The sequence below is a fragment of the Homo sapiens genome, chromosome 14 (assembly GCF_000001405.40).
Source record: "Homo sapiens chromosome 14, GRCh38.p14 Primary Assembly".
In the NCBI taxonomy this organism is placed as follows: Eukaryota; Metazoa; Chordata; class Mammalia; order Primates; family Hominidae; genus Homo; species Homo sapiens.
In genome coordinates this window covers 71758287-71771493 of record NC_000014.9, presented here as the reverse complement: position 1 = coordinate 71771493, position 13207 = coordinate 71758287, and the positions used below count along the sequence as shown (strand labels likewise).

Genomic DNA, 13207 nt, shown 5'->3' with positions numbered 1-13207 from the left:
CTGTGCTTCTTTACATTTGCATTAAAAATAATATGATATAAATCTCTAAATGTAACATAATCTATAAAATTAAGATTTGAACACACAAAGGGGAATGCAAATAAACACTGATAATCATATAACCGAATGTCTAACTCCATAGGCTCAAGACATCGCATAGTATTACTTGTATTGGAAGCTATTATTCTCAGTGTCAAATAAATAAATTAATTAGAAGAGCCATTTTTACTCATTTATCTTATATATTCTAATGTTTTTTCATCCAAATGAAATGTAAAGGATGTTGGCCTATTCAGAGAAAACTTTTTCTACTGTGGAAGACAATGTAAATAGGGATTTTACTTAGCAAGATAATCACTGCCTTTCATAATTCTCTTTAAAGAGATTTTCATTAGAGTTCTCCAGTGCCTCAGGTTAGCAGTGGTTTTGTGTTGGTTTGTTTGGTTTTTTGCATCTAAATGATTGATATCAACCTACTCCCTCCTGTCACCCAGGTAAATCATCCCCAAAAGGTCAAAGCAAAGTCAGAGGCTGGGTGCGGTGGCTCCAAGAACAGATCTGGGGTTTTCAGCCTGCTGTGATGAGTAACTCTCTGGTTCTGGGGTGTTAGAAATGTATGTCTAGTTGCAGGTAAGAACAAATCCATATAAACAGTAAGAGAGGTGAGAGAGAGTCTGCAAATTATTAATGGGTAAGAAATGTATTTGTGGGCAACAAACAGTGTTGGAAAGCACAAGGTAGCCCTTCTGGGCTGGGGCAGGAGATGTGACTCTAGCCAGACATCTGGGGACAGGGTTGGACCAATGTGAGATTCTTCCCCTTGTCTGTCAGAGATGGTAAGGGCTAATTATTAAGCAGAAGGTACTTGGAATTAATCCAAAGGTGGATCTGGCCTCAGATACAGCGCTCAAGGGAAAGAAAACTTATGAGAGTCTAGGCTTGGCGAGAAGCAGCCAAGAGAGAAACCAGTTCCAGGCGGGAGGAGGTTTAAGAAAAGGGGCAACTTCCAAACTGCATTCAGAAAGGGAGGGAAGCTAAAAATAACTTGTTTTCTTCCAGGACTGGGGTCAGCAAGAGAGAAGTGTAGCTGGCTGAGCTTCCTAAAGTCAGGGGAAGAAGTTAAGATGAGAAGCCAGACTCTTCTATGAAGTTATCAGTATATATAAAACTGCATGGGGCCTGCCCAAGAATAATGTTGAATCCTCATACAGAAGAATAAAGGACTTACCTATTAATAAGAATAGAGAAGGCTAGGTGTGGTGGCTCATGCCTGTAATCCCAACACTTTGGGAGGCTGAGGCGGGCAGATCATTTGAGGTCAGGAGTTTGAGACCAACCTGGCCAATATGGTGAAACCCCATCTGTACTAAAAATACAAAATACAAAAATAAAATAGTTATTTCAATAACTAAAAATACAAAAATTAGCCAGGCACGGTGGCACACACCTGTAATTCCAGCTACTTGGGAGGCCGAGACAGGAGAATCTCTTGAACCTGGGAGGCAGAGGTTGCAGTGAGCCAAGATCACACCACTGCATTTCAGCCTGGGTGAGGGAGTGAAACACTGTCTCAAAAAAAAAAAAAAGTTGAATTTTGATGAGGTTCAATATATTTGTTTTTTCTTTTGTTACTTATGTTTTGGGTGTCATATCTGAAAAATGATTGCCTAATCCAAGGACACAAGGATTTATGCCTATGTTTTCTTCTATGAATTTTACAGTTTTAGCTCTTCCATTCAGATCTTTATTCCATTTGGAGTTTTGTATATGGTATGAGGCAGGGGTCCTAATTTATTATTTTACATGTGAATATCTAGTTTAGTCTTTATTGAAAAGGCTACTGACTTCTTGGACATGTGAATATCCACTTTAATCTTTATTGAAAAGGCTGCTGACTTCTTGGCACTCTTGTCGAAACAAAATTGACTATAAATTTGACAGTTTATCTCTCAATTATATTCTCTTGCCATCTATGTCTATCTTGATCAGTACTTCATTGTCCTGATTACTATAGCTTTGTAGTAAGTTTTAAAATCAGGGACTTTCCAACTTCATTCTTCTTTTTCAAGATTCTTTGGGTATTTTGGGTCTCTTGATTTTTTATACAAATCTTAGAATCAATTTGTCAATTTCTGCAAAATAACTAGCTGGGATTTTAATAGGGGTTGCATTGAATCTGTAGATCAATTTAAAGAGTATGGGCATTTTAATAATATTAAATCTGCTCATCCATGAACATGGAATGTCTTTCCATTTATTTGGGTCTTTTAATTTCTTTCCACAATGGTTGGTGGTTTATAGAGTATAAGCTTTATACTCCTTTTGTGAAATTTATTTCTCACAAAAGAATGAAGTATTTCATTCTTTTTGATGCTATGATAAATGGCATTGTATTCTTAATTTTGTTTGGGGAATGGCAAATGCAAGTGCATAAAAATACAATTTATTTTTATGTTGACCTTATATCCTGAAACCTTGCAGAACTTGCTTATTAGTTACAGTAATTTTTAAGTGGATTATTGAAGATTTTCTATATATAAGATCATGTCATCTGCCAATAGAGATGGTTTATTTCTTCATTTCCAGTATGGATGCCATTTACATCTTTTGCATGCCTAATTACCCTGAATACAACCTTCAGGACAATGTTGAACAGAAGTGAAAAAATCCTTGTTTTCTTCGTCATTTTAGGAAAAAAACATTCAGTGTTTCGTCATTAAGATATTAGCTGTTAGATTTACAAGCTCCTCATTCCACTATGCCAAAAGTCCCATGTCCAACACAACTGGCTATTTTCGGCCCTTTGCATCACCATATGAATTTTAGGATTAGCTTGTCAATTTCTACAGAGAAGGTAATTAAAAGGGATTTTGATAGGGATTGTGTTGAATTTGTAGGTCAATTAGATGAGTATTGTTATCTTAACAACATTAAGTCTTTTGATTCAAAAGCATGGGACATATTCTAAGGCAGACATCTATCCATTTTTTCTCAGCTTTGGACCTCCGGAGAGCCTCTAAATCCTTGCACCATAAATTATACTCTAGTAAACATCTTTATAAATAATTATGTCTCCTATGAATTCAGGTGAGAAATTTTTTGGAAAATATAACCAGGTCTAGAATGGCTGTACATATGATATGAATATATTTACTTTTGCCAAACAGTGCTGGACTGCTCTGCAAAATGGCTATTCTAGTCCACTCTCCCACAAGCAGTTCATGAATGTTTTCTGTATTCCCCAAATCTATGCCAATAATTATAATTATCAAGCTTTTTAATCTTTGACACTCTGATATCTGTAAAATAATTATCTTGTGTTTTAATTTTTCTGTATCTGATAATCAATGAGCTTGAGCGTCTTTTCATATGTTTGGTGGCCTTTTGAGTTTTCCTGTGTATAACTCATGAGCTCATGACCTTTGTCCATTTTTCTATTGGAGTTTCTGTCATTTCCTAATGATTTGGGAAGTTTGTTATATATTCTAAATTCTTGCTACTCAGCTGGGAGCTTGTTAGAAATGTAGAATCCATGGCTCCCTTCCAGACCCATTGAATCAGATCAGGATGATAACAAAATCCTCAAATGCCTATTGAAGTTTGAGAACCATTGTTCTAGATTTCAATCTGCTTTTCAGTTTTCAACATTGCAAACACCTTCTTTCATTCTATCAAAAGGTGTTCATGCTTTATTTTGTTAAAAAGAAATAATTATGATTTAAACAAATATAATTTTTGTTTTAAGGTTTATGCTTAGTTCAAAACAATATTATCTATATTTTCCCTATTACCTACATAGTTTAACCTTTTATATTTAGTTCATATTAAACTTTTTAATATTTAGTTCTTTTTATTTATTTTTAATATTTAGTTCTTTATATTTTATATTTAGTGCTTTTTTTTTTTTGAGATGGAGTTTTGCTCTTGTTGCCCATGCTGGAGTGCAATGGCGCAATCTCAGCTTACTGCAACCTCCGCCACCTGGATTCAAGTGATTCTCCTGCCTCAGCCCCCTGAATAGCTGGGATTACAGGCACCCGCCACCACACCCAGCTAGTTTTTGTATTTTTAGTAGAGACACGGTTTCACCATGTTGGCCAGGCTGGTCTCAAACTCCTGACCTCAGGTGATCCGCCCCCTTCATTTTCCCAAAGTGCTGGGATTACAGGCATGAGCCACCACGCTTGGCCTATTTAGCTCTTTTATCCATTTTGAATCCATATTTTTATGTCATGTTAGGTAAGCAACTAATTGTGTTTTTCACCATGTAGGGGTCATTTTTCTCAGCACCATTTGTCAGACAAACTAATGAGTCCTCGTTAATTTGTGGCATCCCAGTTATCTTATAGTAATTTCTCAATTATATATTTGGGTCTTTCTTTCTGAACTTTTTCTTCTGTTCCATCAGCCCATTTGACTGTTCTCATACCATTATCACACTCTTTTTTTTGTTTTGATTATAGCCCTGTGACGTACTTTATATTTGATAGGACAAGTGCCCCTCTTTATACTGATTAAAATTTTCTTAGCTATTTCTAGACTTTGAGTTTTTTCATATAAATTTTAACATAAAGCTTAACACAAAATCCTCAAAAAGTTCAAATTGGATCTTCGTTGTCAGACCATTAAATGTTTCGATAGTTGGAGTGAGGAGATAATGACATGTTCATAATATGATGCTGTCCCATCCTAGAACATGGAATCTCTCTCCACTGATCAGATCTTTTTTATATCTTTTATAGAAGACTTGGTATTCTTGGTTAATTCTTAGATTCATTTTTTTTGATGCTATGGTGAATAGTGTGTTATTATTGTTCTGTTTTCTAGTTAATCATTGCTGATATAAAGAAGTGGCACTTTAAAATTGATCTTTATTCCCCAAGCTTGCTGTAGTGGTTTTTAAAAAGGTCCACATATTCTTTGGTCCTCCTCCCTCCAAGGAGTAGAGGCTATTCCTCTCCCCTTGAGTATGGGTGTAGTGACTTATGTCTAAGAAATAGAATATGCTGGTGAAAGTGATGATGTCTGACTTCTGAACTAGGTCATAAAATGTATTCATTTCCTCTTATTCACTTGCTTTGGGCAGAGTTATGGCAGGACAATATGTCCTGCCATATGGTGAGGACACTCAAGTAGCCTTATAGAGCAGTCCACATGGTGGGGAACTGAGGTCTTTTTCCAAAAGTCATGTGAGTGAGCCATCTTGGAAGTAAACCCTCCAGCTCCAAGTAAGTCGTCAGATAACTGTACCCCCCAGAAAACATCTTGACTGCAACTTCATGGGAGACCCTCAACCAGAACCATCCATCTAAGTTGTGCATGATTACATATTATAAAATTCCATTTACATGAACTATCCAGAATAGGCAAATCTATAGAGGAAATAGATTAGTGGTTGCTTAGGGGTAGGGGGATAAGGAGATAATAGAGAAAGGATTTGGGATCTTGGTTTGTTTTGAAGTGATGAAAATGTTTTAGAGCTTACTCTGGTGATGATGGCTGCACATATCTGTAAGTATAGTACAATCCATTGAATCATATACTTTTTAAATGGGTGAATTGTATAGTATGTGAATTATATCACAATAAAAGGAAGAAAAGGAAGGAAAGAAGGGAGGGAGGGAAGGAAGGAGGGAGGGAGGGAGGAAAGGAATGAGGGAGGGAGGGAGGGAAGGAAGGAAGGAGGGAAGGAAGGAGGGAGGGAAGGAAGGAGGGAGGGAAGGAGGGAGGGAAGGAAGGAGGGAGGGAAGGAGGGAAGGAGGGAGGGAGGAAATCACAGCGACTAGTACATCAATTCATTTCATACCATGGGAAAAGGCAGCATTTTCTAGGCCCCCCAAAACACTCTAGAATCTTGTTATTCTCAATTCTAGACCAATGAGACCAACTTTCTTTATATTTGCTAAGAGAGACTTGCAAGTGACCCTTCATAGGACAAACAGAATAACTTCTCTCAATTCAGTAAAACCACACCTAGCTACACTTACCAAGTGTAAATTACAAAGAAAAGTTTAAAGGAAACTACATCAATTTTATATAAAACAAAACCTTTTACAATGTAAATACAAAAGAGAAATAAAGATTCACACATTATTCCCTTACTTTTCCTGCTTTGTGTATAACACTGTTGACAGAAACTGCCTATAAAGATCCCATTTGGGAGTGGAGTCAACATCTGTATATATGTAATATTGGCCACAACAATCTAAGTGATTTCCAAGGTAATAATTTATTTCCCCAGTAAGCGCCGTTAAAAATTGTGTTGCTTTGAAAAATAAACCAAATTCCTTTTGTGTTAGATTCCCCAGAGGACTCTAGTTTCATTTTGAATCCAGCCTTACACATGAAAGCCTCAATCTAGGAAGGCTGACTGCTCAGTTCAGGGTGCTAAACTATACTGTCATACTGTATTTAAGAGGTTTAAAGTAAATTAACTCAGAGTTGCTTCAAAGTGTGAGCTCATCTATAAATACGGCACAACAAATCAGATTTGTCTCCCATAAGTAGTTTTAACAGCTGTCTTTTCACTGTCTCTCCTCCCCGCCCCCCAAGCTTGTTACCTCTTTACAAAATTGCACCTCCTTCAGAGCCAGGATTTTCCCTTTCTCTTGTGCACGTCCCCCAGCCCCCAGCACCTGTGAGGGATCTCGGTGTGGGGGTGACAGACACGGATCTCACCCAACAGAGTAGACAATCAGTGTGGCCGTGGGAGATCTACACTCCAAAGCTCAGCCATTCTGAGTTTCTCACTCGGAATCTTTTTTACTCTTTTTTAACACATAGTTATGCCAGTCCTAGCTACCTGATTTCCTAGCCAATGCAAAACTAGAAGTAGCTAACTGGTTGTTGGAGGTAAGCCCCTGGCAGATGTGATGAGTATCAGATAAAAGAAAGGGAGAACAGAGAAAATCCTGAATTTGAAAATCACAACAATCACTTAACGCAGGTGCAAGGCAACTTATATCTCAATAGCCATGTGGGGGTTTTCTGTTCTATAGAAACCGAATTCCAGTCCTGAGCCATGGTCCTTTGAAAGATTGTATTATGCTCAAGATATTCTATTTCAAAGAGCAGAGATATACACATCATAAAATTATATACTTCTGTATGTTTGAAATTTTACATTGAAAAAGGTAAAAATATTTTAAAATATTGGTATTTAGAGAAGATAGTTGTGCTGCTTGTCTTGTTTAAAACAGTTAAACTTTTTAAACAGCCCACTCCTGGTTATTCTGAATTAACAAAGATGAACCTGATATTGAAAACAGTTACAGAGTACAGAATAATTTGCAAACATTAGTGATTCTCACATAGTGATATTCAGTACAATTCTAGAATTCCTTGCTTAAACAAATCTTGAATACCTAGGATGTGCTGGGTGCTATGTTGGGTGATGTGAGGCAACAAAAATAAGACATGGTCGCTGCTCTCAAGGAGCCTGAGCCTAGTGGGTGAGATGTCTAGATTATGAAATAATTACCCCACAATATGGTGCTATCATAAAGGGCTCCACAAAGAGATAAGCACATTATCCTTAGAAGATACAACTTTTGAAATGTGTCTGATTGGGTTTTGTTGTTGTTGTTGTTGTTGTTGTTTGTTTGTTTGTTTTGAGATGGAGTCTCACTCTGTCTGCCAAGCTGGAGTGCAGTGGCTTGATCTCAGCTCACTGCAACCTTTGCTTCCCGGGTTCAAGTGATTCTCCTGCCTCAGCCTCCCAAGTAGCTAGGACTACAGGTGTGTGCCACCACACCCGGCAAATTTTTGTATTTTTAGTAGAGATGGGGTTTCACCATGTTGGCCAGGCTGATCTTGAACTTCTGACCTCGAGTGATCTGCCCACCTCGGTTATGGGGGTTTTAAGAGTGATCATAAACCTCACTCTTATCGCCTTGGAAGAAACTAAGAAAGAAATACAATGAAGATTAAAATAGTGTATGCATGTGAACCTGGATTCAAAGATAAGGCTTGGGCCAAGGGGCAAAAAAAGAGAAGTCTTTCTCACATTTCTCTCATCATCTAGACCTAAGGAACTACACATATATGAAGGCCAAGAGGAAACTGGCTGTGCAGGGCAGACTGTTACCCAGCCAGTGGCAGGCAGGAGTGTGGACTGCCTTGCACAGATAGAGCCCAAGAACGGGAGGGAAGGGGAGACCACGTATGGGAGACGTGTGAGTATGTTGGCCCCACCTGATAGAGATGCACGAATGTGGGAGGGGTTGTTAGACTTCTCCAGCTCTCCAGTGAAAGAAATCATGCCTTTTTCCATAAGGGGATGAAGCCAAGAGGAAGAGAGAAAAATCAGAAGTGTTTCTGCAATACTATTCCCAATTAGTGAATATAGTAGGAGTGGCCTCCCCTCTACCCAAACAGAAGCAGCAGAAATAAGCATCCCATGCCAATAGGTCTTGAAGGATAAAAAGAGATTCAGCAGGGAGATGAAAGGAATCATTCCATATAAAGGGAAAGGCAAGGCAAAATAGGAAGATTTCACTGTACAAAGTGCCTTCAGAAAAAGGTGAGAATAGAGTCTCTTGACATTTATCAAGAATTTCTAACTAAAGGCGGTTGATACCCCTAAATAAATATGTTTCTATTCCTCCAAGTCTAGATCTAAAAACAGCATAGAAGGGCACTACTCAACGAGTTTGTGCTTTCTTATTTGGGGATCACTAAGCCTTTTGAATCTGTGGGTTAATGTCTTTCAGTTATAATCTCCTTAAATATTGCTTCTATCCATTCCCCCTTCCTGCTCTCTCTGAGACTCTAGTTATCCCACGTCTCTTACGCTGTTATTGTTTACTTTTCCATTTTTTCTCTATATTTGTTTTGAATATTTTCTAACAACCTGCCTTCTAGTTACTTAGTAAACTACATGCACAATCTGTCATTAAACAAATTTACTGAATGCTTATTTTTAGATATTATACTTTTAGAAGGTCCATTTGGGGAGTCTCTGAGTCTACTCTGACTCGAGAGACTACCCAAGGAAAAAAAAATGAATTGGGAAAAAAAGAATATCCATTCAATTATTATTTTTATAGAGTTCATTCCAAATATCTGGTGAAATTATCTATTCTGTCATCTATTTTGTGCATCTTTTTTCTATTTTCTTGAATATATTAATCATAGTTATTTAGAAGCTCTTATCTGTTAACTGCAATATCTCTCCCATCTGTGAGTATTTCTATTGCCTAGTTTTTTTAACTTAGTTATCTATGACATGATCTGGTTCTTTACATGTTTAGAAATTTCTTATTTTATGCCAGCCATTTTGTTTAAAGACCTAAAGGCTCCAGATGGTACTACCTTCCTCCTTTCCTCTGTTAGGCACGTCTGATGAGAGACAAAGCTAAACTGGGGCTTTGATACAATTTAGTAAGAGTTTTGGTAAGACTCAGCCTACCTCATTTACCCCTGTTCCTAGGATGTGATCTTCCTGGGTTATGAATTGAGAACCTGGCAAGTGCTTGTGTCCTTAGCCCTAAAAGACTACAAAAGATTCTGTTCTGCCTTTCAGGGGTTTTATTTTATTTTATTATTTATTTATTTAGAGACAGAGTTTTGCTCTTGTTGCCCAGGCTGGAGTGCAATGGCACGATCTTGGCTCACCACAACTTCTACCTCCTGGGTTCAAGTGATTCTCCTGCCTCAGCCTCCTGAGCAGCTGGGATTACAGGCATGCGCCACCACGCCCAGCTAATTTTGTATTTTTAGTAGAGACGGGGTTTCTCCATGTTGGTCAGGCTGGTCTCAAACTCCCAATCTCTGGTGATCCGCCTGCCTTGCCCTCAGCCTCCCAAAGTGCTGGGATTACAGGTGTGAGCCACGACACCCAGCTCAGGGGTTTTAAAGCTTAGGTTTTTAGCCTTCCACAGATTCAAATTTTGGCACATTTCTTGAGACGGAGCATGACTATCTGTTTGAGGCCTATCTAGCCTTCAATGGTATCACCCTAGTCTCTCCTAAATATTATAATCTCTCTGTCTTCCAGCAGCTGGCTTAGGGGCAAGCCTGGATTCTTACACTGTAGCAGCTCCCAGAATTAGCTCCTAGGTAAAAGGGCTGGTAGAATCTGTGTCAACATACCAAGCATCCTGTAGTTTTCATCTGTTGCCTTTTTGTTTTCATTTCAACTCCGCCTGGTCATTTTCATTTCTTAGACACCTCCAGACCATAGGATATTTCACTCTATATTTTAAAACGTGCAGTCCAGGTGTGGTGACTCAAGGCCAGGTGCCGTGGCTCACACCTGTAATCCCAGCACTTTGGGAGGCCGAGGCAGGTGGGTCACTTGAGGTCAGGAGTTCAAGACCAGCCTGGCCAACATGGTGAAACCCCGTCTCTACTAAGAAATACAAAAAATTAGCCGGGCATGGTGGCGGGCGCCTGTTATCCCAGCTACTCAGGAGGCTAAGGCAGGAGAATCACTTGAACCCGGGAGGTGGAGGTTGCAGTAAGCCGAGATTGTGCCACTGCACTCTAGCCTGGGCAACAGAGCAAGACTCTGTCTCAAAACAAAACAAAATAAAATAAAATAATAAAACTTGCTATGTGACTCTTTATGACCGGGCACCATGGCTCATGCCTGTAATCCCAGCCCTTTGGGAGGCCGAGGTGGGTGGATCACCTGAGGTCAAGAGTTCGAGACTAGCCTGGCCATCATGGTGAAACCCCCATCTCTACTGAAAATACAAAAATTAGACAGGCATGGTGGCATGTGCCTGTAATCCCAGCTATTCAGGAGGCTGAGGAAGAAGAATCACTTGAGCCCAGGAGGCAGAGGTTGCAGTGAGCTGAGATTGCGCCACTGCACTCCAGCCCGGGAGACAGAGCGAGACTTTGTCTCAAAAAAAAAAAAAAAAAAAAAAAAAAAAAAAAAAAAACATGCTACCTGACTCTTTAATCCCCCAGACAGCCTCAGAATTCAGAAAATGTTTCATGGGGGAACCTAGACATGTATTTGAGGCTCTGAAAATCCCTGCTTTGGGAAGCCCAACCCAACAGGACCACTCAGACTTTTGCTGATTTTACTGTATACCCCATACCCACCCAAGCAGGTGGTCTCTGCTGGAGTCAAGCTCTGATCCTTAGCCCAGCCCAGAATCAGAGAATGCCCTAGGGGGAAATAACAGGTAGGCATTGTCCACTTATCTCTGGACAGTTCTATCCCTTCCTGAAAATTTAGTCCATTTATCCTTGTATTATAGCTTCTGTAACTCTCTGGTGCCATTAAAAATATGACCTTTGTAATGTATCCGCTTTTTAAACTTTTTCTCAATGGACGAGTTAGCCTTCCATGACCTATCCAAAAGCATCTGGATTCACAGGTTTGGCTACGCCCATGGGTAAACCACTGCACACCCCCAAAATATATACACACGCTCTATTCCCTCACTTTGCTATATTTTCCCTTACTGGATTCTTCATTTATATAAATATTGATGGCATACCCTGATCATCCAGTTTTTGCCACTCCCCTCACCCAGTTCTCTACTAAGAATCTGTGTTCCAGTGGGGGACAGGCATTCAAGAGCTGGATCCCCCTGTGTCTGGTGGGACAGGGTTCACTGCCTGCACTGCAGAACTGGAAAGCCTCTGTCACCCTGAACACGCCAAGTGTACCTACCTGCCTGAAAGGGGTGGGATTCATGGCTTTAGAACTAGAATAGGAAAAGTTTTTTGTTTTTACCCAGACCATTTAGGAAAAGATTTAAGTAAAGAGCTGGCCAGGCACGGTGGCTCACACCTGCAATCCCAACACTTTGGGAGGCCAAAGCAAGAGGATCACTTGAGCCCAGGAGTTGGAGACCAGCCTGGGCAACATAAGGAGACAATATCCCTACAAAAAGAAATTTTTTTTTAGCTAGCCAGGCATGGTGGTGCATACCTATGATCCCAGCTAGGGAGGCTTGAGCCTGGGAGGTTGAAGCTGAAGCAAGCCTTGACTGCACCACTGTTATCTAGCCTGGATGATGGAGCAAGACCCTGTCTCAAAAAAACAAACAACAAAAAAGATTTAAGCAAAGACTTGTGGTTCAAATTTTGGCCCTTGTGTCTCAAATGAATGAGGTTTGAGTGAAATATATATATATATATATATATATATATATTTTTTTTTTTTTTTTGAGATAGGGTCTCACTTTGTCACCAAGGCTGGAGTGCAGTAGCATGATCTCAGCTCACTGCAACCTCTGCCTCCCAAGCTCAAGCAGTCATCCTACCTCAGCCTCCCAATTAGCTGGGATGACAGGTGTGCACCACCACACCCAGCTAGTTTTTTGTGCTTTTGGTAGAGATGACGTTTCACCACGTTGCTCGGCTGGTCTCGAACTCCTGAGCTCAGGCGATCCACCCACCTTGGCCTCCCGAAGTGCTGGGATTACAGGTGTGAGCTGCCGCCCCCGGCCTGAAATATTTTTTTAATGGGAGATTTCAGTTCATCTCTCCACCCCAAAAAATCTAGATTTCTGTTGTTTCTTTACCAAGTGGTCCAGTAACCGGGCTCTGTTTCACATGGCAGCATTCAGCTGCAGATGCCACTCTAGGTGGGACATGTCCTCTCCAGAGGGGCCTGGGGCAAGGCAGGTGAGGGACCCAGGTGCTAAATGCCTGTGGTCTTGCTCTCAGAGCCATGCAAGCACATCGTCGGCTTTTGCACCTCCAGGAGCGAATGCCTCCTACAAGTTCACACAGCGGCCTCCCTCGAGGCCCAGCTCTGCTCTCCAGTGTCTCGCCTGTTTAACTCCCTTGTGACTGCAGCCTGCCTGGCCCCTGTGGGCACGGACAAAGCTGAATGAGCGACTCAGGCTCCTGCAAGCCAGAAGTCAATGGTGGCCCCTAGCACACACCTGCTCCTCTTGTCACAACAGCAGATACGGTAACTCAGAAAAGCTCATTCTGCAAACTTCCTGCTTTCCTTCACTGCTGCTTAAATGTAGTGTTTATATTATTGTAATTAAAAACAACTTCATTATCCAGTGGGAGAGTAATTCTGTGCCCCTTTACAGCATTCTGAGTCTTCCCTATATGGCTCAAATATGCCTCAAACAAGAAACCAGTTGCTAGGGGACCAGCAGGCAAACTTCAAGAGACAGGTGGTTTCTGCCTTTTCTCTCAACTTCTCTATCCAATCCCAGCCCAGGCCAGCCTATCGGTACATTTAGAAAAAAGAAAAATAGAAAACACACACACCGCCCCTCTT

General features: G+C 40.3%; 1 annotated feature.

The window, feature by feature from the left end:
* Window positions 12649-13207: an enhancer, noted in NCBI's record as "H3K27ac-H3K4me1 hESC enhancer chr14:72225004-72225562 (GRCh37/hg19 assembly coordinates)". NCBI's record gives its function as "activates a minimal SCP1, AML or CMV promoter by ChIP-STARR-seq in naive H9 embryonic stem cells {active_cell/tissue: H9 hESC(naive)}" and the evidence as "EXISTENCE:reporter gene assay evidence [ECO:0000049][PMID:30033119]".